The sequence below is a fragment of the Homo sapiens genome, chromosome 12, assembly GCF_000001405.40.
Source record: "Homo sapiens chromosome 12, GRCh38.p14 Primary Assembly".
Taxonomy (NCBI): Eukaryota; Metazoa; Chordata; class Mammalia; order Primates; family Hominidae; genus Homo; species Homo sapiens.
This window is the reverse complement of record NC_000012.12, coordinates 131,159,288-131,186,398: the sequence shown is the minus strand read 5'-3', so window position 1 is coordinate 131,186,398 and position 27,111 is coordinate 131,159,288. Positions and strand designations below refer to the sequence as shown.

At 43.6% G+C, this 27,111-nt stretch overlaps 1 long non-coding RNA gene across 1 annotated transcript in view; it reads right to left on the bottom strand.

The window, feature by feature from the left end:
• LINC01257 (long intergenic non-protein coding RNA 1257) overlaps positions 1-21,388 on the bottom strand; it is a 47,921-nt gene extending 26,533 nt beyond the window's left edge. The window contains exon 1 of the long non-coding RNA NR_026670.2: positions 21,169-21,388. This is a non-coding gene — a long non-coding RNA (long intergenic non-protein coding RNA 1257). The remainder of the gene's footprint in view (positions 1-21,168) is intronic.
• Between the last annotated feature and the right edge of the window lie 5,723 nt (positions 21,389-27,111).

The window sequence follows — 27,111 nt, the reverse complement described above, 5'->3', positions numbered from 1 at the left end:
ATGATCAGTGATGTTAAGCATATTTTCGTATATCTGTTTTTCCATTTGTATGTATTTTTTTTAGAAATATCTATTCAGGTATTTTTACCCATGTTTTAATCAGATTATTATTTTGCTATTGAATTATGTGAGTTCCTTATATATTCTGGATATTAACCCCTTGTCAGATGCACAGTTTCCTTCACTTTAAGTCTATTTGTGTCCTTACAGGTGAAGTGAGTCTCTTGTAGACAACATATAGTTGGGCCTTGGTTTTTAATCGATTCAGCCACTGCGTGTCTTCTAATTGGGGGACATAATCCATTTATATTCAAGTTAATTATTGATAGGTAAGAACTTACTATTACCATTTAGATAATTATTTTCTAGTTGTTTTGTAGATTATTTCTTCCATTTTTCCTCTCTTACTCTCTTCTTTTGCGGTTGATTTTCTGTAGTGGTATGTTTTGACTCCTTGCTTTTTATTTTTATGTCTCTATTACAGATTTTTGCACTGTGGTTACCATGAGGCTCACAAAAAACATCCTATAGTTGTAGCAGGTTATTTTAACTGATGACAATTTAAATTTGATGACAAAAAAAGAAAAAAACTCTACCATTTACCTTATTTCTCCTCCTCCCATATTTTGAGTTGTTTTTGTTTGATTGTTTGGTATTAGGTTATTTTTACTTTAGTAGCTGTAGGGGTACAAGTAGTTTTAGGTTACATGGATGAATTGTACAGTGATGAAGTCTGAAATTTTAGTGTACCCATGATATGGTTTGGCTGTGTCCCCACACAAATCTCATCTTGAATTGTAGCTCCCATGATCCCAACATGTTATGGGAAGGACCCAATGGGAGGTAATTGAATCACGGGAGCAATTACCCCCATGCTGCTGTTCTCATGATAGTGAGTGAGTTCTTACAAGATCTGATGGTTTTGTAAGGGTTCTTTTCCTCTCTGCTCATTCTCTCTCCTGCTACCCTGTGAAGAGGTGCCTTCCACCATGATTATAAGTTTCCTGAGGCTTCCCCAGCCAGGCAGAACTGTGAGTCAACTAAACCTCTTTTCTTTATAAATTACCCAGTCTCTGGTGTTTCTCCATAGCAGTATGAGAACAAACTAACACAGTAAACTGGGACCACAGGTAGCCTGATGATGCCATAGAAAAGAAAAACCCATTTGCTGGAGGGGAAATTCAAGCCCACTGCAGAAATCTGCATAAGTAATGAGGAGCCAAATGCTAATCACCAAGACAATGTGGAAATTTTGTCCAGGATATGTCAGAGACTTTTGTGGCAGCCCCTCCCATGACAGGCCCTGAGGCCTAGGATAGAGAAATGGTTTCCTGGGCCAGGTCCAGGGCCCCCCTTTTGTATGCAGCATTGGGACTTGGTGCCCTGTGTCTCAGCCACTCCAGCTGTGGCTAAAAGGGGCCAAGGTACAGCTCAGACCATTGCTTCATAGGGTGCAAGCCCAAAATCTTGGCAGCTTCCACATGGAGTTGGGCCTGCAGGTGCACAGAAGACAAGAACTGAAGTTTGGGAACCTCTGCCTAGATTTCAGAGGATGTATGGAATGCCCAGATGTCCAGGCAGAAGTCTGCTGCAAGGGCAGAGCCCTCATGGAGAACCTCTGCTAGAACAGTGCAGAAGGGAAATGTGGGATCAGAGTGCCCACATTGGGGCACTGCCTAGTGAAGCTGTGAGAAGAGGGCCATTGTCCTCCAGACCGCAGAATGGTAGATCCACTGACAGCTTGTACTGTGTACCTGGAAAAGCTGCAGACACTCAACACCAGCCCATGAAGTCAGCCAGTAGGGGGGCTGTATCCTGCAAAGCCACAGGGGCAGAGCTGCCCAAGGCTGTAAAAGCCCACCTCTTGCATCAGCATGTCTTGGATGTGAGTCATGGAATCAAAGGAGAGAATTTTGGAACTTTAAGGTTTAATGACTGCCCAGTTGGATTCTGGACTTGCATGGGGCCTGTGGCCCCTTTGTTACGGCCAGTTCCTCCCATTTGGAGTGGGTGTATTTGCCCAATGCCTGTATCCCCATTGTATCTAGGAAGTAACTAACTTGGTTTTGATTTTGCAGGCTCATAGGCAGAAGAGACTTGCCTCGTCTCAGATGAGACCTTGGAGTTGGACTTCTGGGTTAATGCTGCAATGAGTTAAGACTTTGGGGGACTGTTGGAAGGGCACTATGGTGTTTTGAAATATGAGGACATGAGATTTGGGAGGGGCCAGGAGCAGAATAATGTGATTTGGTTGTGTCCCCACCCAAATTTCATCTTGAATTGTAGTTCTGATAATCCTCACATGTCATGGGAGGGACCCAGTGGGAGGTAATTGAATCATGAAGATGGTTACCTCATGCTGCTGTTCTCATGATAGTGATTGAGTTCTCATGAGATCTGATGGTTTTATACAGGGGCTTTTCCCTCTTTGCTCATTCTTCTCTCTCCTGCTTCCCTGTGAAGAGGTGCCTTCCACCATGATTGTAAGTTTCCTGAGGACTCCTCAGTCATGCATAACTGTGAGTCAATTAAACCTCTTTCTTTATAAATTAACTCGTCTCAGGTGTTTCTTCATAGCAGCATGAGAATGGACTAATACAACCCATCACCTAAGTAGTATACAATGTACTCAATATGTAGCTTTTTATCACTCACCACCTTCCACACTTTTCCCTTCTGAGTCTCCAATGTCTATTGTAACACTCTGTGGGCCTTTGTGTACCCATAGCTTAGCTTCCACTTATAAGTGAGAACGTGCTGTATTTGGGTTTTCATTCCTAAGTTGTTTCACTTAGAAAAATGGCCTCCAGCTTCATCCAAGTTGCTGCAAAAGACATTATTTCATTTTTTATGGCTGAGTAGTATTCCATGGTGTACCTATACCACATTTTCTTTATTCATTCATCAGTTAATGGGCACATATGTTGATTCCATACATTTACAATTGTGAATTGCACTGTGATAAACGTACATGTACAGGTGCATTTTTTATATAATGACTTCTTTTCCTTTGGGTAGATACCCAGTAGTGAGAAAGGAAAGTAGTGAGCTTGCTGAATCAAATGCTAGGCCAACTTTTAGTTCTTTGAGAAATCTCCATATTGTTTTCCACAGAGGTTGTACTAATTTACATTCCCACCAGCAGTGTAAGCAGTGTATAAGCATTACCTTTTCCCCACATCCACATTAATATCTATTATTTTTTGACTTTTTAATAATGACCATTCGGGCTGGGGTAATGTAGTATCTCACTGTGGTTTTAATTTGCATTTCCCTGATGATTGGTGATGTTGAGCATTTTTGCATATTTGTTGGCCATTTGTATGTCTTCTTTTGAGAGATAGCTATACATGTCCTTTGCCCACTTTTTGATGGGATTTTTTTTCTTGCTAATTTAAGTTCCTTGTAGGTTTCGAGTATTAGTCCTTTGTCAGATGCACAGTTTTCAAATATTTTGTCTTATTCTATGGGTTGTCTGTTTACTCTGATGATTATTTCTTTTGCTGCACAGAAACTTTTTAGTTTAATTAGGTCCCTTTTTTTGTTATTACATTTGCTTTTGATATATTACTTATAAATTCTTTGCCTAAGCCAATGTCCAGAAGAGTTTTTCCTCTAGATTTTTTTATAATTTGGGATATTAGATTTAAGACTTTAATCAATCTCAAGTTGGTTTTTGTGTATGGTGAGAGATACGGATCCAGTTTTATTCTGCTACATATGGCTTTTCAGTCTTCCCAGCCCCATTTATTGAATCAGGTATTCTTTTCTCAATTTATGTTTTTGTATGCTTTGTTAAGGATAAGTTGGTTGTAAGTATTTGGCTTTATTTCTGGGATTTTATTCTTTTCCATCGGTGTATATATCTACTTTTATACCAGCATCATGCTGTTGTGCTTACTGTAGCCTTCCTTGTATAATTTGAAGTCAGGTAATGTAATGCCTCCAGATTTTTTTGTTTTCTTAGGATTTCTTTGGCTATTCAGGCTATTTTTTGGTTCTATATGAATTTTAGAATTTTTTTTCTATTTCAATGAAAAAATAATGTTGACATTTTAATAGGAATTTGAATCAGCAGATTGCTTTGGGCAGTATGGTTATTTTCATGGTATGGATTCTTCCAATCCATAACCATGGGATATATTTCCATTGTTTGTGTCATCTTTGATTTCTTTCAGCAGTGTTTTGTAGTTCTCCTTGTGGAGATATTTCATCTCTTTTGTTAAGTATATTCCTAGATATTTTACTATTTTTTCGCAGCTGTTGTAAAAGAGATAGAGTTCTTGATTTGATTCTCAGCTTGGTCATTGTTGGTGTATAACAGTGCTGTTGATTTGTATACTTTGATTTTGAATAAATAAAAGGAATAAATAAATACTGAATTCATTTATCAAATCTGGGAGTCTTTTGGAAGAGTTTATAGAGAGTTTTCCAGGTATGTAATCATATCATCAGCAAACAGAGATAGCTTGACTTCCTCTTTTCCAATTTGGATACCCTTTATTTCTCTTGCCTGCTTGCTCTAGCTAGGACTTCCATTACTATACTAAACAGAGGTGGTAGAAGTGCGCATCCTTGTCTTGTTCCAATTCTTAGGTGGAGTGCTTTCTACTTTTCCACATTCACTATGATGTTGACTGTGGGTTTGTAACATATAGCTTTTATTATTTTGAAGCATCTTCCTTCTATGCTTAGTTTGTTGATGGCTTTTATCATAAAGGGATGCTGGATTTTATTAAATGCTTTTTCACATTCATTAAGATGATCATATGGCATTTGTTTTAATTCTGTTTATGTGATGAATAACATTTATTCACTTGACTATGTTAAACCATCCCTGAATCCCTGGGATGAAACCCAGTTGATCATGGTGAATTATCTTTTTCATGTGCTGTCAGATTAAGTTTACTAGTATTTTGTTGAAGGTTTTTGCATCTATGTTCATCAGAGATATTGGTCTGTAGTTTTCTTTTTTTGTTATATTATTTCATGGCTTTGGTATCGGGATAATACTGGCTTCATGGAATGAATTAGGGAAGATTCCTTCTCTCAATCTTTTGGAATAGTTTCAGTAGGATTGGTACTAATGTTCCTTTGAATGTATGATAGAATTCAGCTGTGAAGCTGTCCGACCCTGGGCTTTTCCTTGTTGGCATTTTTTTTATTACTGATTTAATCTCACTGCTTGTTATTGGTTTGTTCAGGATTTCTACTTCTTTCTGATGCAAGATAGGAGAGTTGTATGCTTCCAGAAATGTATCCATTTCCTCTAGATAGTCTAGTTTTGTGCATCGAGGTGTTCATATTATTCTCAAATGATCTTTTGTATTTCTGTGTTGTCAGTTGTAATGTCTCTATTTTCATTTCTAACAGGTTATTTGAACCTTCTCTCTTTTTTACTTGGTTAGCATTGTTAATGGTCTATCAATTTTGTTTATCTTTTAAAAGAACTGACTTTTTGTTTCATTGATCTTTTGTATTTGTTGTTTCCATTTCATTTAGTTCTGTTCTGGTCTTTGTTATTTCTTTTTCTTTGCTAGCTTTGGGTTTGGTTTGTTCTTATTTCTCTGGTTCCTTGAGGTGTGATGGTAGGTTGTCAATTTGTGATCTTTCAGACTTTTTGATGTGGCTTTTAACACTATAAACTTTCCTCTTAGCACTGCTTTTGCTATATCCCAGAGGTTTTGATAACTTGTGTCACTGTTATGCATTGCAAAGAATTTTTTAATTTCCATTTTGATTTCATTGTTAACCCAAAAATCATTCAGGAGCAGATTGTTTAATTTTCATGTATTTGTATAGTTTTGAGGGTTCCTTTTGGAATTGATTTATAGTTTTATTCCATTGTGGTCTGAGAATATACTTAATATGATTTTGAATTTTTAAAATTTATTAAGACTTGTTTTGTGGCCTATCATGTGGTCTATCTTGGACATTGTTCCACGTGCTGATGAGAAGAATGTCTTTTCTGCAGCTCTTGGGTAGAATCTTCTGTCACATTCTACTCAAGAATATTCTGTAAATATCTGTTCAGTCAATTTGTTCTAGAGTGCAGTTTAAGTCCAGTGGGGTTTTTTTTCTTTCTGCTTCAGTTATCTGTCTTGTCCTGTCAATGGCATATTAAAGTCCCCTATTATTGTGTTGCTGTCTATCTCTTTCTTTAGATCTAGCAGTAATAGTTTTATGAGTCTGCAAGCTGCAGAGTTAGGTGTATATATATTTAGAAGTGTGATATATTCTTGTTGGATTGATTCTTTTATTATTATATAACGATCTTCGTTTTTTTGTTTTGTTTTACTCTTGTTGCTTTAAAGTCTGTTTTATCTGATGTAAGAATAACTACTGCTCACTCTTGGTTTCCATTTGTTTGGAATATATTTTTCCACCCCTTTACCTTGAGTCTATAAGAATCCTTATGTGTTAAGTGTGTCTCTTTTTTATTATTATACTTTAAGTTCTGGGATACATGTGTAGAAGGTGGAGGTTTGTTACATAGGTATACACATGCCATGGTGGTTTGCTGCACCCATCAACCTGCCATCTACATTAGGTATTTCTCCTAATGCTATCCCTCCCCTACCCTCCCCACTCCCCAACAGGCCCCAGTATGTGATGTTCCCCTCCCTGTGTCCATGTGTTCTCATTGTGCAACTCCCACTTATGAGGAGAACATGTGGTGTTTGGTTTTCTGTTCTTGTGTTACTTTGCTGAGAATGATGGTTTCCAGCTTCCTCGTGCCCCTGCAAAGGACATGAACTCATCCTTTTTTATGGCTGCATAGTATTCCACGGTGTATATGTGTCACATTTTCTTTATCCAGTCTATCATTGATGGGCATTTGGGTTAGTTCCAAGTCTTTGCTATTGTGAACAGTTAAGTGTGTCTCTTGAGGACAGCAGATACTTGGTTTGTAAATTTTTATCCATTCTGCCAATCTGTATCTTTTAAGTGGAGCATTTAGACCATTTACTTTCAATGTTAATAGTGACATGTGCGGTACTGTTCCAGTCATCATGTTGATTGTTACCTAGTTACTTTGTTTTCTTCACTGTGTTATTGTTTTCTTTTCCTTGTGAATTTTATGCTTTCAAGAGGTTCTATTGTGTTGCATCTTGACCCATTGTTTCAAGATTTAGAACTCCTTTTAGCATTTATTTCAGACAAGCATTTGCTTGTCTGAAAAAGACTTTATTTCTCCTTCATTTAAGAAATTTAGTTTTGCTAGATACAAGATTCTTGTTGGACAGCTATTCTGTTTAAGGAGGCTAAAGATAGGACCCCAATCCCTTATGGCTTGTAAGGTTTCTAATGAGAAATCTGATGTTAGTCTGATAGGTTTTTCTTTATAGATGACCTGATGCTTTTGTCTCACTGCTCTAAGAATTCTTTTCTTCACATTGACTTTAGATAGTATGATGACAATATTCCTTGGTGATGTTCTTTTTGCAATGAATCTCCCAGGAGTTCTTTGAGCTTCATGTATTTGGAGATCTAAATCTCTAGAAAGTCCAGGTAAGTTTTTCTCAATAATTCCCTTGAATATGTTTTCCAAACATTTTGCTTTTTCTTCTCCCTCAGGGACACCAGTGATTCTTAGGGGTGGCCTTTTGACATAACCCCATATTTCTTGGAGACCTCATTTATTTAATTCTTTTTTCTTTATTTTTGTCTGATTGGGTTATTTCAAAAGCCTTGTCTTAGAGCTCTGAAATTCTTTCTTCTACTTGGTCTAGTCTATTGTTAAAACTTTCCACTGTATTTTGTAATTTCCTAAATGTGTCTTTCATTTCCAGAAATTCTGATTGGTTTTTCTTTAAAATATCTATCGCTTTAGAAAATGTTTCATTCATATCCTGAATTGATTTTTTAAAATTTCTTTATGTTGGTTTTCACTTTTCTGTTGTATTTCCTTGAGCAACCTAATAATCAAGCTCTTGAATCCTTTCCTGGTATTTCAAAGATTTCATCCTGGTTTGGATCCATTGCTGGATAGCTAGGGTAATCTTTTAGGGGGTGTTATAGAATCCTGCTTTTTCATATTGCCAGAATTATTTTTCTGGTTTCTTATCATTTCGGTAGATTATCTCTTGTAATTATTTTAATATTTTTGATTCAACTGTGTTATTTTTCCTCCCTTGAGGATGTGACTTTAATATTTATAGTTTATTGTAACCTAATTTGGCTCTGGGTGCTTTCAGGGATGAAGACTTCGCATAAGTTCCTTGGTTACAGAGAGTCTTTGTATGATGGCCTTCTCAGATGCTGGTTGTAGTAGCAATCTGCTCAGTGTGTGAGCAGGCTGGGAATGGCAAAGGTCTCATGAAGCTTATCTCATGCCCCACTGGTGTGCACTTTTTAATTTATTTATATTTTCCTCAGTGTTTTTTCACTGGGTTGAACAGTTCAGGCTTCAGGCCAGTAGGAGGTGTCCACAAGTGACAAACAGCTGTGGCTAAAGCAGGTGGGTAAATGCAATACCCAATAGTAGGCAGTACTCCCAGCCTTTACAGAGGAGGCTGGGGGAGCTTCTCTAAAAGAGGCTGGAAGAGAATCCTGCTTCTCCTCTGGGTCTAGCCACCTAGTGAGGCTGCCACACTCCAGGGTAGTGCTGGGGAATGTCTGCAAGGGATCCAATGATGTGACCTGTTGTCAAGTCTCCCAGCAGGCGGTACCAGCACCAGCTCAGTGAGACACATTGAGGTCTTTACAGGGGGAAGGAAAGGAGACACCTCAGCTCCTCTATCAGGTCAAAAGGAAAGTGATTTACCTCCCAGTCATACTCCTGACACAGTGTTCCAGCTATTTGAATCAGACAGGCACTTCTTTTCATCTGCAGGAATGCTGATGTCCTGTGTAGAATGGGATCATGATTCTACCCCTCGTACAAGCCTGAACCTGGAGGACACTTCTCCTGTGGGGATGCAGTGTTCTAGAAAGTCTGTCTACAGGTGCGGTGCACTCATGCCAAACTTCCTTGGGAGAAGCCCCAGTTGTGACTGCAGTGATGGGGATGTGGGAGGAGAAGAAATTTTCTTCTCCAAGACCCTTCACAAGCGCCAGGGCTGCCTGACTGTTGAGGTAGAGCTGCAGACTTTCCTCACTGAGCCCAGCACTACACCTTTAGCTCTGCTGAAAGAAACATCCCACAAGCAGAAAATTCTGGGACTCAAGTCCTGCCACCTGGATTCTTCTGTCCCATGGAATGCTCCTTTCATGTGGTGCACTCCCGTTTCCCCTAGGAGTAGGAGTCCCTGAGTCCCTGCCAGATACTGTGAATCCTGCTTCTCCTCTGGGTATAGCTACCCCAGACCAGTGCTGGGGAATGCCTGCAAGGGATCCAGTGATGTGACCTGTCCTCAAGTCTCCCAGCAGTGGGTACCAGCACCAGCTCTGATGAGGGTGGCAGAGGGGTGATATAGATTCTGTGAGATTTCCTTGGTTACAAATAGCCTTAGTGTGTTGGTTTTCTCAAATGCCAGTTGTAGTCATAATGAACTGGTCACATGGACACTCAGGACCTCCTGTAGCCAGCGTAATACAGGCAATGGTAATAGCGGAAGTCACACATAAGTTTTCTCTTTCCTGGGCATTGTGTTATTCTACCTGCAGAAGTTACAATAGACTGTTGGCTGGCCTCCAGCCAGGAGGTGGTGCTTGCAAAAGAGTGCCAACTGCAGTGGTAGCTAGCAGTGGGATTTGTGCTTGCCTTGTTACCTAGGGGAAGTACTCTGATGTCTCAGGGAATGGGCAAGGACATGGAGCTCCCAAAAGTTTCTGTCCTTTGTGTTAAGCTACCAGAGGGGGTGGAGGAGAAAAGCCAGGTAGGGACTGGGTCAGGAAAGTCCATATTCTGGCTCTTCACATGCAGGCACAAGCAGCAGCCCCAGTGGGGAGTTGAGGGCAGTTCTCTGGCTATTGGGGTAGTGTTCCAGGGAGAAGCACAGCTGTCTCTGCTGCACAGAAAAGTCCACAGGGAGTGAGGAGTTGCAGGTGTCAGTAAGCCTCTAGCTCCCATGCACTTGGCAAGGCAGTTCTCACACCAGCAGTGTCCCACTAGCAGCAGCTAGCTAGGTTCCAGGCAGTCTGTGCTCAGAACTCAAAACTGCCACAGGCCACAAGCCTTCCCCACTGAGGCAGAAACCATGGCTTTCAGGCCACACCACTACCAGTCTTCCCATGAAGCAGGGATATGCAGTTCCTGCCTCTGTGACTACAGCACACATCCCACTCTCCCCTGAGTTCTGGACAAGAGCGGTTAACCCCACTTGATATTATATCATGAATCTCAGCTGGGAGCTTTTCTCAACCTGCGACTGCTGCCTGAGTTAGCTGGCAGATTTCTGTGAGATCCCCTGTGAGGCAGGATCAGAAATGGCATCCCTCTGTCTTCACTGGAGTCTGGGAGTGCGTACAAAGCACATCCTGATGCCACTCCTTCTTATATACTCCCCACCACTCACCAAATTAGTTCCAACACTGGGTAGGATTAAGGCCTTCCCCCACTGCCTAGATTGCCAGGTTTCCCAGTGGGAGCATATATGCTGGAGGCCGTTCCTCCTCCCTCTCACTCTGAAGACTCACAGTTTTCCACCTGGCTCATGGTGTAGGCTTCAGCCCACCAGTTCTTTCAAAGGGTCTGTGATTTCTTTCAGTTTTTTCTTTTTTTTTTTTTTTTTTGAGATGGAGTCTCACTCTGTTGCCCAGGCTGGAGTGCAGTGGCGCCATCTCAGCTCACTGCAAGCTCCACCTCCCGGGTTCACACCATTCTCCTGCCTCAGCCTCCTGAGTAGCTGGGACTACAGGCGCCCAATTTTCTTAAGTTCCTGTAGTGCTTCTTGGAAAAAATTTCACGGCATGAGTGGACACGCTATTTTGTCTTTACAGTGGGAGATGCATACAATGTCTCCAAACTGCCTTCTTAGAAATTTTTTTTTTACTTCTGATGTCATAATTTACATGTTTTATATTGCCTATCTCTTAATAAATTATTGTACTTATTACTATTTTAATAGCTTTGTCTTTTAACCTTCATACTAAAACTATAAATGATTTACACACCACAATTACATTTAGAGTATTCAAAATTTAACTCCCTATTTATTTTCCCAGTGACTTACATACTTTCAGATGTTTTCATGTTACTTATCAGCACTCTTTTCTTTCATCTTGAAGTAATCCCTTTAGCATTTCTTGTAATACAAGTCTGGTGGTGATCAATTTCCTCAGTTTTTTGTGTTTGTTTGTTTTGTCTGGAAAAGTCTTTCTCTCTCCTTCATTTCTTTACTGAATACAGTATTTTTGGTTGGCAGAGGTTTTTTGTTTTTTGTTTTTCCCAGCCCCACCACCAGCACTTTGACTATATCATCTCACTGTCTCCTGGCCTGTAAGGTTTTCCACTGAGAAGTATGCTGTTAAACATATTGAGACTTCCTTATATGTTATTTGCTTCTTTTGTCTTGCTGCTTTCAGGATCCTCTCTTTGTCTTTGATCTTTGATAGTTTGATGATAACATGTCATGAAGCAGTCTTATTTGGATTGAATCTGACTGAATACCTTTGACTTTCCTGTACTTGGGTATTTATATATTTCTCTGTATTTGCAAAGTTTTCTGGTTTTCTGTTATTTCTTTAAATAAACTTTCTACCTCTTTCTCATTGCCTACTCTCTCATACAGTGATGACCCATATATTTGTTCTTTTGTTGTTATCCCATAAATCCCATAAGCGTTCTTCATTCCTTTTCATTATTTTTTCTCCTTTGAGTGTATATTTTTTATTAACCTGTCTTTGAGCTCTCATATTTTGTTCTCCTGCTTGATCAGTTCTGCTGTTACGCTCTCTATTGCATTTTAAAATTTCATTGTATTTTTCAACTCTGGGATTTCTGTTTGATTTTTAAAACTATTTCAATCTCTGCTAAATGTCTCTGATAAATTTCAGAATTACTTCTCTGTATTTGGTTGATACTTTTTGAGCTTCCTTAACCCTTTCCCATTTAGAAAAAAAAAAAAGTGCAGCTCACTGCCAGCACTCACTAAATTTTATGTAAATACGCTCTTTGAAGTTGAGGCAAATCTGATTTTCAATGTGAAAATAAAATATAAAAACTGTTCCTACAGTTATTTCTAAACAGAACTAACATCAGAATCAACTGAATCATCAAAATTGTCTATTTTGAAAAAATCAGATTCATCAAATGAATCTTCAGCCAACAACTGTTTGAGAATGATGTTAACATAATGCATAGGAATGTTACATTTTCTAGGACTTGACATTTTCAGTGATCGAGAATTACTATATTTTGTAAATGGAAATGCCACTACTAAAAACAGAATGCTATAAATAGAATAATGTCTTTTGTTTGCAAAGTCGATATACTAGAGCAACGCAAAAATAATAATAAAAGTGAGCTACTTCGTGGCAAAGTTATCTCGGGGTAAACACTACAGCACAAGCACCACTGGTGAGTATTCTCAGGGGAAATGGGAAAACGGTTACAACAGCTGCTTTGAATTGTTTGTATTCTTCCATCTCCACTTTCTTAGAGTCAGTAACTAGCACCTCATTTTGTGTTTGACAATGTCATGTTTCTCTCATTAATCTTGATCCTTGTGGCCATATATTGATGTCTGTGCATTGATGTTGGTACCCAATCCAGTCTTTATGGTCTGGCTTTTGGAGTTTCCTTCAGCAGGAAGCCTGTCCAGAAATTCCAGGCAGGTTGACTTGGAGAACCTTAAGCCCATGACTGCTTCAAGCATTAAAGCCCTAGTGGTCCCCCAGGACCAGGACTACTGCAGCTGGAACCCTTTAGACACCAAGGCTGAAACAGCACTGGGTCACATTCAAAGCCCATGACCACAGAGACCTGCATAGCACTGAGGCATGCCCAAGACCCATGACTTTTGCATCCTGCCCACCACTGAGGTTTATTCAGTGCCCAAGGCTGCTATGGTCAGCAGGTAGTGATGTGGGCCAGATCTCACACCATCTTCCCAGGGGCATGGGTTTCCCTCTGGCACCAATGCAGTTAACAGGATCTGCCCATTGGTACCAACCTGGTATCAGGGGCTATGAGGTTCTGCCCAGTGCCGAGTTTTATTGTGGCAATCCCAGTACTGAGTTCCAAGACAAAGCCCCATACTTTTCCCAAAAGTGAGTACTCTCTCTGCACTACACTGCAGTGCCTGGAAAAGGGGTGACCTGAGCAATTCCATGGCCGCTGAGGCTGACAAAGTAGGGTTACATCCAAAGCCCACAACTGCCAAGATCAGCACAGCACTGAGGCATGTCTAAGGCCCATAGGTGCTATAGTCTGCCTGCCACTGAGATTTATTCAGAGCCCAAGGCCATTGTAGTCAACCAGCAGTGATATGAGCTAGAACATGAGTACATCTCACTTGGACCAGAGGCCCCTGTTTGGCACCAGATGGTACCAGAATAGGTCAAGAGGTTCCCTCTGTGGGTACTAGCCTAGTGTCAGAGACCAAAGGGTTGTCCTCAGTGCTGGGGTTTACTGAGGCAGGCACATTACTGTGTTGCAAGGTAAAGTCCTGTGCTTACTTCCTTCTCCTTCCCCCAAGTGGACCATGTCTTTCTATGCTGTTCTCCCTGGGGTTGTAGAAGGGGTAACGTGGGTAACGTAAAACTGTCCTTCCTACCCATTTCACTACATGTTTTCTTATTATTATGCTAAAAATGTACTGTGACCTCTCACCTGTTTCCTGAGCTCTTGTGAAGGTTTTCTTTGTGTGTGAACAGTTCTTCAAACTGATGTTTCTGTGGAGGAATTATCCCTGGAGAGTTCTACCCACCATCTTGTTTCATTGCTTCTCAAGATTTTAATTTTTACAAAATTCAATTTATTCTTTTCTTCTTTTTGCTGCTTGTGCTTTTGGTATATTTAAAAATCCATTGCCAAATCCAAGGTTATGAAGATTTGCCACTATGTTTTCTTCTAAAAGCTTCATGTTTTTTCGTCCTTATGTTCAGGCTGCTGGTCCACTGTGAGTTCATTATTGCACATGGTGTGAAATAAGGGTACACGTTTATTTTTCGCATGTGATAATGCAGTTTTCTCAGAACCATTTGTTGCAGAGACTGTGCTTTCTCCACTGAATGGTCCTGACACAGTTGTCAAAACTCATCTTACCTTATATGTGAGGGTTTATTTGGGGTTATTTATTCTATTCCATTAGTCTGTATGTCTGTCTTTATGCTAGTATCACCCTGTTTTGACTTCTGCAACTTTGTAGTAATTTTTGAAATCAGGAAGTGCAAAACCTTCAACTTTGTTCTTTTTCAAGGTGGTTTTGGCTATTTAGGGCCCCTTGAGATTCCATATAAATTTTAGAATGAATTCTCCTATTTCTACAGAAACAAATTGAGATTTTGGTAGAAATTACATTAAATCTGTGGATCGTGTGGGTAGTATTGTCATTTTGACAATATTAAGACTTCCAATCTATGAGCACAGTATGTCATCCCATTTATTCTGGTCTTCTTTAATTTTTTCAGGCAAGTTTTGTGGATTTCAGTGTGTAAGTCTTTCACCTCTTTGGTTAAATTTATTCCTATGTATTTTATTCCTTTAGATGCTATTATGAATGGAACTGTTTTATTAATTTTTTTGATTGTTCTTTACTGGTGTCTACCATCACAACTGTTTTTTGTATGTTGATATTGTATCTTGCAACTTTGCTGAATTCATTTGTTAGCCCTAGTTGTATGTGTGTGTATTTTTTTTGAGATTTTAAAAATATATAGGCTCATGTCATCTGTGAATAGAGATAGTCTGACTTCTTCAATTCCAATCTGAATGCCATTTGTCTCTTCTTGCCTAATTGCTCTGATCATAACCTCCAGTATAATGTTAAACAGCAGTGATGAAAATGAGCTTACCTGTTTTGTTCCTGATCTTAGAAGAAAGTTTTTAGTCTTTTGCTATTATGTATATTGTTTGCTATGGATTTGTCATAAATATGCTTTATTATGTTGAGGATATTCCCTTCTATTCCTAGTTTACTGAGTGTTTTTATGACGAAGGGGTGTTGGATTTTGTCAAATACTTTTCCTGATCATATAGTTTTCATAAATGATCATGTGGTTTTTCTCCCCCGCATTCTATTAACGTGACATATTACATTGACTGATTTTCTTAAGTTGACTCACTCTTGCATTCTTGGGATAAGTCACACTTGGTCGTGTTATGCTATGCTTTTACTATGCTTTTGAATTTGGTTTGCTCATATTTTGTTAAACATTTTTGCCTCTATATTCTAAGGGATATTTGTCTGCAGTTTTCTTCCTTCTGGTATGTTTGTCTAGATTTGGTATCAGGTAATATTGGCCTCATAAAATAAGTTTGGAAGTGTTGCCCTCTGATTTTTTTAGAGGAGTTTGGGAAGAGAGTTGGTGTTAATTCTGCTTTAAATATTTGGTAGAATTTAGTAAAGCTATTTGGTTGTGGGCTTTTCATTATTGGAAGGTTTTTGTTTACTGATTCAATCTCTTTCCTAGTTACAGATCTGTTCAGATTTTCTACTTCTTCTTCAGTCAGTTTTGGTAATTTGTATGTTTCTAAGAAATTATCCATTTTGTCTTGGCTATCTAAATTTTTTGGCATACAATTGTTTAGAGTATTCTCTCGTAATCATTTTCATTTCTGTAACAACAGTAGTAATGGCCCCACATTTATGATTTATTTATGACTGTCTATGACTATTTATGATTTTGGACTTTTTTTAGTCTAGCTAAATTTTTTTTGTTTTGTTTTGAGCTGGAATGTCTCACTCTGTTGCCCAGCCTGGAGTGAAGTGGCATGATCTCGGCTCGCTGCAACCTCCACCTCCTGGGTTCAAGCAATTCTCCTGCCACAGCCTCCCGAATAGCTGGGATTACAGGTGTGTGCCACCAAGCCTGGCTAATTTTTATATTTTTAGTAGAGATGGGGTTTCATCACGTTGGCCAGGCTGGTCTCGAACTCCTGATCTCAAGTGATCCGCCCGCCTTGGCTCCCAAAGTGCTGGGATTATAGTCATGAGCAACTGTGCCTGGCTTGATATTTTTAAAGAACCAACTTTTGGGCCAGGCACAGTGGCTCACGCCTGTAATCCCAGCACTTTGGGAGGCCGAGGCAGGGGGATCACAAGGTCAGGAGTTCAAGACCAGACTGCCCAACATGGTGAAACCCCGTCTCTACCAAAAATACAAAAATTAGCCTGGTGTGGTGGCGCGTGCCTGTAATCCCAGCTACTCAGAAGGCTGAGGCAGGAGAATCACTTGAATCTAGGAGGTCGAGGTTGCAGTGAGCTGAGATTGTGCCACTGCACTCCAGCCTGGGTGACAGAGCAAGACTCCGTCTCAAAAAAAAAAAAAAAAAAAAAAAAAGAACCAACTTTTGATGTTATTAGTTCTATTGTTTTTTTCTATTCTCTATTTTATTTTTCTCTGCCGTAATTTTTATTAATTACTTCCTTCTACTTTTAGGTTTTAGGTTTACATTGCTCTTCTTTTTCTAGTTCCTTAAGGTGTAAAGTTAGATTACTGGTTTGAGATTTTTCTTTTGTAATGTTGATGTTTACTGCTATAGATCTGTGTGTAAGAAGTGCTTTCACCACATTCTATAAGTTTTGGTATGTTGTATTTTTATTTTTATTTGTCTCAAAATATTTGCTAAATTATCTTGTGATTTCTTATTTGGTCCATGGTTGTTTAAGAGCATTGTTTAATTTCCATGTATTTTTGAAATACCAGGCCGGGTGCGGTGGCTCACGCCTGTAATCCCAGCACTTTGGGAGGCCAAGGCAGGTGGGTCACTTGAGGTCAGGAGTTCAAGACTAGCCTGGCCAACATGGTGAAACCCTGTCTCCACTAAAAATACAAAATTAGCAGGGTGTGGTGGCCCACGCCTGTAATCCCAGCTACTCGGGAGGCTGAGGCAGGAGAAGTGATTTAACCCAGGAGGCAGAGGCTGCAGTGAGCCAAGATTGTGCCACTGCACTCCAGCTTGGGTGACAGAGTGAAAATCTGAGAAGAAAGAAGAAAGAAGAAAGGAAGAAGAAGAAGAAAGAAGAAGAAGAAGAGGAGGAGGAGTAGGAGAAGAAAAAGAAAGAAAGAAAGAAAGAAAGAAAGAAAGAAAGAAAGAAAGAAAGAAAGAAAGAAAGAAAGAAGAGGAGGAAGAGGAAGAAGAAGAAACAATTCCAGTTTTTGTTTTTTTGTTTTTTTTTTGAGATGGGGTCTCACTCTGTCACCCAGGCTGGAGTGCGGTGGCACGATCTGGCTCACTGCAAGCTCCGCCTCCCGGGTTCACGCCATTCTCCTGCCTCAGCCTCCTGAGTAGCTGGGACTACAGGCGCCCGCCACCACGCCCAGCTAATTTTTTGTATTTTTAGTAGACACGGGGTTTCACCATGTTAGCCAGGATGGTCTCGATCTCCTGACCTCACGATCCACCCGCCTCGGCCTCCCAAAGTGCTGGGATTACAGGCATGAGCCACTGCGCCCGGCCTACAATTCCAGTTTTTATTCTAATATTGATTTCTAGCTTCATTCCATAGTAGTCAGAGAAGAGACTTCATATAATGTCAATCTTTTTAAACTTGGTGAGGCTTGTTTCGTGACTTAGTATATAGACTATCCCGGAGAATGTTCCATGTGCATTTGTTAGGAATGTGCATTTGGTTGTTGTTCGTCTTCTACTTCTTATTCGTCTCTGTCTATAAGTTGTACCCATTATTGAAAGTGGTCCCTCTTTCTTCTCTTTTTAATACTCACACATATAAGGCATATTTAAATGACCCCCAAAACAATGGAACATCCCTCAAGAAAATCTTTCAGCATCCTTACAGCTGGAGGTATCCCCTTCACCCATTTCCAGGCATATTTCACACTTCCTCTCCTGCCACTCACCATCCAGCCCCTCCTGCTCTCTACAACCCCACATCTCTCAGGATGGATGATACTCTGCAGCCTGCAGGTAAGGGCTGCAGCTTCACCTGACTAACGCTTCTTAGACTCAGGGAGATAGCAGGGGTAGATCCTGCAACAACAGAACACAGCTGAAGTTCATCACATTGGTGAAAAAGTGTAAGTTTTCTGGAAATCTAGAATGTTTAACGTATTAGGAGTGAAGTCAAAATAACCTTCGTGGTATACAGATAGTGCAGATTTCATCCTGCTGCCATCCCACCATCTCTGCTCCCCAAATCTCTGACATGTGAGTTGATTTACAGGACTTGATCTCCCCACTGATGCTCACACCCAGCATCCAGGGGAGGGCCTGGTCCACAATCCACACTCAACAAAGATCAGGTTAAAGAGTGAATGTCAGGGAAGTGTGGAAGGGGGGCCAGGTTCCCAGGGCCATTCAGCCTGCTCCTTGTCATGGACATAGACTTATACCTAGGCTCAACATCATCATAAGAATTCAATGTGGGCTTTTCCCAGGAAGTCATCACCGCCACAGGCCACAGACAACGTTCTAAGATCTATGCCAGAGCTGGTACAGCTGGTGATCAGAAAAGCTGAGAGAAATTGCCCAACTACTCTATAAATAATGGTGTGTGATTCAGACTTGCCAGTGATAGAAAAAAAGAAATGACCCCCTCCCTGAGAACCTTTCAAAAATACCAGAAGATCATAGCAAGCAAAGAGCAGTTTCTTAACAAAATCAATCTTTCAATGTATCATTTCACAGTTAGGACACAAAAAGCACAAACACAACATTCTCAATAGAAAATAAAAACACTTCAGCAGATCACACACTTTCCAATGTGTTTCTTTGCCCCAGCATTTCTAGGAAGTCGTTCTGCTGATCCTCTGCCAAGTCTGCTAAGCAAATGGCAGCGTCAGCACTCTGCTAAGTGGGTAATTCGCTCTCAGGATTCCAGTTCATGGTGGTGGTTATTTGGGGCTGACTCACCCTGTTCTACCTTTCAGGATACTGGTGAGCACTGCCAGCGTTCTCTCCTGGGCAGCTGGACGCATCCTTCTCAGCACATTTGTTTCTATTCTCCATCCTAAGGTCAGCTCTCCCCACCCAATACCTTGCACATACACCCCTGGCCTCAAGTGGAGCTGCCTTCCAGTCTCTGCAAGCTGAAGGGCAGCTTTCCTTTACTTCCAGAACCATAACCACCTATCTTAGATTCCCACTACGGCCCCAACAAATCACCACAAACTTAGTGGCTTAGACAACACAAATATTTTCTTGCAGTTCTGTAAGTCAGAAGTCTGACGTGGACCTCACTGGACTAACATCAAGGTATCCACAGGCTGTGTTCCTTTTTGGAGACCCTAGGGGAGGATAATTTGCTGACACATTCAGGTTGTTGGCAGAATTCATTTCCTTGTAGTTGTAAGACTGAGACCCCTGTTTTCTCTCTGCCTATCGGCTCAGCCTTCCCAACTTCTAGGGGCCATGTGCATGCCTTGGCAGCTTTCTCTACCTTCCAAGCCAGCAACAGGGTGAGGCTCTCTCAAGCTTTGAATTTCTCCTCCTTCTGACTCATCTCTCTGACCCAGCTGGGAAAGTTATCCTATCTTAGGGACTCACATGATGACACTGGGCTCACCTGGACAACCCAGGATGCTCTCCCTATCTCAAGGCCAATACCTTTAGTCACATCTGCAAAGCCCTTTTTCCCATGTGAAGTAACATATTTATACATCCCACAGATTTAAGTATGGACATACTGGGGGGGCGTGATTCTGCTAACCACACCATCTCTGTTCTCCCCACTATTTCCACACACAGATGCTGTCCTGTGATATGTTGAACTGCTTGTCTGTCCATCTCATGTAACATGAAAGTCAAACTTTCTCAAGGTCAAAAACAGTATCACCATTTCCAAAGATCCATTCAGTGAATATGAGTTGATGCAAAGTTGGAATCTTCAGAACACCCTCGGGCACATGGCTACAGGAGAAATGGAGCGGGTGGGCTGGATGAGCTGGTGAGAGCATGCCCCCAGGAGGGAATGTCCACTGCTCAGCCATGGCTGCCATTTGAGAATGGGGCCTGAGGTAATCAGAGTCCTGACTGTTCAGGAAAATCAGAAACCTGGATTACAAACAAAACCTCTCAATTTTAAGCATCAGCCACTAATTCAAATGTTAACACTGATCATGTTAAGTAAACACCTGAGGATCTTGCCCAGCACGTGGTCCTCCAGCGTGACGTCTCTGCCCTGGGAGATTTCTTATTTACCAGGAGCCCAGTGCCTCCTTCACAGGCCTGCAGATTAAATCTGATCTTGGTGACCATCATTTTACCCCCTCCCTCAGAGGATCCGATCCTGGGGCAGAAGGCTTTCCCCTGCCTCCTCTCCAGCTTCACCTGCTGCCCTACCTTCCTCCATCTCCCATTTCCCCCACTTCCAGCAGTTCCCTTTCACCCCACTGTGTGCACTCTTTAAGCCTTGGCCCTGCTGGTTTCCACCCCTGGAATGTCCTCTCCCATTGCCAGCCTGGTGAATCTGCCTTCATGGAGAGCCCCCTCCTCTGTGAAGCCTTCCTCCATTTCTCCAGGGGACTCTGGGCATCTTCCTCTAAGCCAGTATCTTCCCCATAATGGGCTGCCACCGTGCATGATAGATGTTCATGGATTCAACCAAATGTTTACTTACCACCTACTATGTACTAACAGCCTCTCAATCCTGAAAACATGGCAGTGAGCAAGACACACATGGGCTCAGCCCTCATCAAGACAGTGATGCCAGCTATGAAGGGAACCAAATTGGGTGAAACGGTGGAGAGTAGGGTAGGCTTGAAAAAGGAGGTCCCAGAGGGGGTTTCTGGAGAGGTAACTCTCCCACTAGAATGATGGGAAAGAGTTGACACCCAACTGGCTGTGGGAAGAGCTTTCCAAGCAGAAGGAAAAGCAAGTGCAAAGGTCCTGAAGTAAAGAAAAAGGAAGATAATCACAGAGGCAGAGCAGGTTGGGGGTGGAGAAAGTCAAGCATATGACGCTGAGGAAATGAAGACAGAGGAGCGTGTAGGGCTTCACAGACCAAAGTGAGGGGGTTAACTGCTGATGTGGATTCTCCCCACAACCCCCACCTGCTGGGGGACTCATGAGTGCTGAAAGAGAGCACGCCCAAATCACTTGAAGGGTGGACCGCAGGGCTGTGGGGTTTGGGCCCTTTCTCCACCGTGGGACAGACTTACAGCACAGGCGAGTGCTCCCTGCATCTGGACACAGCTGTGGGGCTGTGGTCGCCCCATCTTAGGCCTTGTTTCTAGGAGACGTTCCCACCAGAGAGTGTCTCTCTTCATCTTCCCCAGGTGATTCAGGAGCTCCGGGTGTCATTAGGTTGCATTGCTCATTCCCAGATCGAGCGGAAATCCCAGCCTGGCGTCTCCCACCAGCGCTCACATGCGTATCTACAGCTCATACCTTGGGACGTCTGGGCGTGACGTCAGCTTCCGAGTTCACGAATCAGACAATTAGATTAAAAATTCAAATTCCACTTGGAACTCCCAGACCTCCGAAGCTCGGCGTGTTCTGCACTCAGTGGCCACAGAGCCCGGGTCCTGGCGCGGATGCGCTGGGGCTGAACTCCTACTCCTGACAGCGCCGTCCAGAGAGGTGCGGCCCGCGGCGGGGCTGGGGGAGCTGGGGACCCGCGGGCCCAGAGGAGGCGCAGGACGAGGGGGGCCGAGCCCCACCAGGACCGTCCCGGAGGCCTGAACGCAGTGTCTGGTGAGCCTGAGGAGGTCAAGACCCGGGCCGCGTCCCCGTCTCCTCGTCCCCAGTTCCCAGTGTGGGGCCTCAGGGCACAGACTCCACAGCTGCTGAGGGCCTCGCCCCCTCCTTCCGGGACCTCCCGAGTTTCACTCAGGAGCCCCCACACCCACAGCTAAGACGCTGGGACCGCTACAAGGACTCTTGGTCTATGAAGGGGCCTGTGGCCCAGGTGTGGTTGGAAGCCCCTTACCCTGGCTCTGTGATTGGTGCAGGGCTGGTCACGTGGCCCGAGCAAGTCCAATCGGAGTGAGCATCAGGATTTGTTCCCTGGCCAATGGGAAAGGTTGTTACACTTCCACAGGCTGTGCTCTGGCTTTGTGATTGGTGCAGAGCTGGCTACATGGCCGGAGCAAGTCCAATCAGAGTGTCAGGTGGCTGTGCCCTGGGCCTATGATTGGTACAGACCTGGTCACATGACTCTGCCAGTCCAATCAGAGTGCATGCCAGGACCTGCCCCAGGGCTGGCGGGAGAGCTACGGAGCTGAGAGGAAGCCAGGAAGCAGCTGCAGCCATCTTACTCCTTTGTAGGGGGAGCCTGCCAGGTAGAGGTCCCTGATTGGGGCATTAGCAGGGCCAAAGCCGCTGAAGGCCCAGATATGAGACAGAAAAAAAGATCACTGGAGCCCTGGATCCAGTCGAGCCTGCAGCCAGGTCTGTGCTGCAGCGTTTCCAGGGCCAGGTCCCCTCCCCGCTTTTATTTCCTTGAGCTCATTTGAGCGTTTCTTGGCTTTTGGGCTTCCTAGCCCAAGGAGTCCTCATCCACACAGAGCCGGATCAGAATCCGGAACCCCAGAACCTGGATCACTCCCCTTCCTTGCTGCGCGGTCCTGACCTGGGCCCGTGGCCTCAATTTCCCTGCTGTGAAAACCCGGAGGGCGCGGGCGTTGGGATCGCGAGGGGCCTCAAGGCAGCATGGGGGGGGGGCACCGGGCAGACCCCGCCTGGACGCCAGCCCCGAGCCCTCAGAGCCCGCTGTCCCCGCGTCTGCCCGTGCGGGACAGAGAAACAGGGTCAGGCCGGAGAAGGGCCGCGCCAGCCGGGCAGGAGTCCACAGAGGGGCCGCAGCACTTGCCACCCGGGCAGCAGCGGGGCTCCCCGAGCCAGGCCTCTGGACGACCCCTGGTCGGAGGGGGAGTGGCTCGGGCTCGCTTCCGAGGGTCCTGGCCAGCGGAAGGAGGGGCTCAGGGACGGGCGGGGAGATGCCGTCGCGGTCCCGGTCCTGGTCCCGGTCCCGGTGAGGACAGCGGCCGGCTCTTCCCGTGACCCGGAGGGCCCTGTCGGAAGCAGCTGGAGGACCCGGAGTTCCCCAGAGTTTCCTACCAGCCTTCGTCTCTACCCGCCCCTCGCGCCGCAGTAGAGGGAAGGGTGCGTTCCGCTGGCGGCAGCATATGAGTATCCATGAGCCCCCGTGCCTGGGTGACACTGGCAGTGTCCACATGTAGCACATAGGTAATAATCATGTCAGCAGCCTGCGTGTGTGACACCTATAAGTACAGGTGCAGGTGGCACAAACATGGGTGATGCAGATACACCCAGGCAGCGCCACACACAGCACCATGCAGGTCATACAAGGAAGGAATCCGCAGACTCCTCCCACGAGCAGCGGACAGACGGGAGCATGCGGGAATGGTTTAATACACAGAGCAGCAGGCCCAGGTAATAGGAGGTGGCACACACAGGTTGTTTACAGGCAAACGCACAGAAGTAGCCTGCAGCAGAACGCACACACACGACATATCAGGTAAAATACAAGACTCACGTGGCAACACAAATGACCACCAGCAAACAGATGACAGGCACAAGTGACACAAGATGCTGACACACTTAGGTAACATGAAGGCACCATGGACACAGGAAATACAGACAGTGCATGCCAGCAGCCTGCACGGTCATAACAACACACGCGAGCAGCCTGCACGGTTATAATAACACACGTGAGCAACCATTCACTCCCTGGGTGAGTGAATGTGTAGGTTGCATGTAGATGGCATGCAGTTAATATACACATAATCCATGGAACAGCCCTTAAAGAAATGCAGCCAGGTGGTACACACATAGAGATAACACGCACACAAGATCCACACTCAGCATCAAAGGAGCATATGATCAGGAAACATGCAGGTAACATACTGGAGCATAAGTGTAGCACACAGGTCACATATGCAGAGATAACCTCCAGATAGCAGCACATGAGAAACACTCAGATACCACACTCACTGGGAACACAGTAGTACATAGATCACTGGGAAGGAGCACATGTGTCACACCCAGGTGACACGCAGAGGCTTACACATGTAGGACCTGCAACACACATTGGCAGCCCGTAAGTCACAATTCACATGGGACCAGACAGGTAAGGCACAGGTTACTCATACAAGTAACAGATACCACCCACAGGATGCACATCCATAGATGCAGACACGGGCAGCACACAGGTAACACATACATGGCTGATTCTGACACCAGGCTCAGAAGTAAGATTGGAGAAGGTCCAGATATGGACCCAATATTACTTCTATCCTGAATGCCAGATGCTCTGGGAAATGCAACCTGTTTGGAAACCAGGGCAGAAGGTAGAGAAGGATAATGGGCCTGACTTCCTTGCTTGGTCCTAAGAAAGAGATGGCTGCGTTAGTGCATTAGGCTGACGCCTCCTTGCTACAGCACTTCACAATTCTAACTCCTCATCTTAAGATCATCCACAGAAAAGAACATCACGATGTTTAAATAAGGTAATTCACAGGAGTTCATTTCCTTTTTCAGCATCACTGGTGCAGTAAATACTTTGCAGTGAAGCCTTCATTTCTTAGATTAAAAAAAAAGAGCTTATGCAGACACTACTTTTTGAGTCGCTTCATAGATCTCCCCGGTTGTGTCCTACTGCCAAGACCTGTCCAAGCACCCCTCCCCTTATTGGAAGCGGGTTTTTACTGAGATGTTAAAACTGCTGGGCTGAGACTGGAGAGACCCCCCCAGATCCTAGGAGGCCTCAGGCAACTCTGGGAATCACAGTGGAGCTGGTGTTAGGTGACACTTGAGTTTACTGCACCCATTCCTAATACTTCAAAGAAAGTGGAGGCCAAGGACCCCTGGGAATTTCATAATGAGACAGTGGAAAGTGATGCTGCACCTGGACATTCCATCCTGAGAGCAGTTTCAAATCCTTACCCTTCAAGCGACTTGGACATACTCTCTTTCAGCACTCATAAGTCCCCCAGCACTGCCAAGTTGGGCCGAGGGAGGAAGCTGTACCTGGGAGGTGGTGTTATCCACCAAGTCCCCTAGGGGAACCCCTACTAGGGTGGGGTGAGGATGCAGTTTCACAGATGTTTGCCTGTGAGGCAGCTGTGATCTAAGCTCACTTTCATCTCTCCTTCATATGGCATGTACAAGGCATCAGAACAGGGCAGAAGTCTCAAGTTCAGATGGATATACGTTAAATTTCAAAATGTTTCTGTCTTTTCATGTTTGGCTTGATGGAGATACATATGGAGGTTCTGGCATGTGTATGTAGGCATTTACTATTTATGTAACCCTGGCCAAGTTCTTTATCTATAAAATAGGGATAATTGGACTTACCTCCTCACATGATTGTAAGGATAAATGAGTAAATATAGGATCCCCATCCTTTCATTGAACCCATTTTATCTGAATTGCCCTGAGTCCAGGTCTGCTGCAAGACCTGGACCTGCAGGGACTATGACTTGTCCCTGGCAGAGATTGTGTCCTTTGGGTGCAGCACAGCCTTGGACTCAGGCTACTTGGGAAATGAAAGGCCCTTCTGCAAACCCCCTGTCACAACTCAGCTGTGATAGGACTGGCACCCCTCACCCTTTGCACCCAGGCTCCAGATGCCCCCATTGATGTCCACCATGGGATGGACTTGGGAGCTGGACATTTTTATTACAGCATCTCTACCCAAACTTACCCCAAGCTCCCCTCCCAGAATGTCACCTGTCCCCAGTGCACTCAGTGGAGCATAGAGAAGGGAGGCTCTGTGTGAATTAAAAATGCATCAAGGCTGTCAAAAGACATCAAACTCGAATTCAGTTTTCAAGAACAAAATGCATTTCATGGTACAGCATTGCAATTACTTTGCATTATAAACACCCAGACCCTTTCAGACCTGTCTCCATCTCCTCATTTCTTATGCAAGATCTTAATGCAGAGTGATACCCACCTTAGTTGTAATTAAAAGCTCATAATGCACAAATGTATTTAAAAGGAAAAAGGACACAGATTCTCTGAGGATAATTATGTGATTGATAATAGCTCATTTTCTAAGTCTCGTGATATGTAAAACTCACCCCATGTGTCCACCAGGGGCCCTGATGGAGCTTTGTCACATGTCATTCAGCATGCATTTTCTGATTTTCTATCATGAGCCAGTCTCTGTGTGTTACTGATGGCATAAAACTTTGCAAGACAGAGAGAGCCCCTGCCTTCAAGGAGATTTCAGTCTAGAGAGGAACACAAAGAAGGACTGAGAAATCCTACCAACAAAGTTAAAACTAATAGTCATTAGAAGGAAAAATACAGGAGTCTATGAGAACATAAAGCAGAGAAATTCAGGAGAGAAGTCCTGAGGAAGCAACATTTGAGCTGAGATTTTTGAACCAGGCAGCTGAGTGAGATTACAAAGCCTGGTGTTTCCCTGAAGGTCACACAGATTGTCAGTGGTGAAAACAGTGCCTGTGGATATTCAGATCTGACAGTCTGTCTCCCAAGACTGTGCCCAACCACCTTATTGGAATAGCTTACAGCCTCCCTCGCCTTTGGGAAAGGGAGAGGGTGGGCTCCTTATCCTTAGTGCCACCTATCGGCCCTTAAGAGCTGTGATCAAATCCCTCTTGATGCCCCAGTTAAGAGCTCTGCAGGGGATATAGACATGTTTGGAAAAGGCAGATACCACCAGAGAAAGACCATGGCTTATCAGGAAACCAGAAGTTTCTCTAGAAACGCTATCCTGATGCTTTTGTCTCAGTGAGTTTGGAGACACAAACCTAAGGACCATTACATTGCCTCAAATTATTTTCTGCCTCTTTCAAATAGAATCCCTCTCCCTCACCCGCTACCCACTCTACCCCTGCAATGAGGAACCTTGACAGGAGTAAGGGCTCAGTCCCAGTCCTGTGCATTCTGCTGCCATGGGGATCACACTGACTTTGACAATGTTGTCGGAAAGAATGTGAACAAATAGTGGTGATCAATAACCCAACCTCCAGGGATGGGGAACACATAGCCCTGAGATCATGCCCCACATGGGTGATAGGCCTGTATGTTTGTGTGGCCACTGGGTGGTCACCCAGCTCTCCAGGTTCACCCTCTCTCGTGCATGTAGGAGCTTGTCTTCATCCATTTTG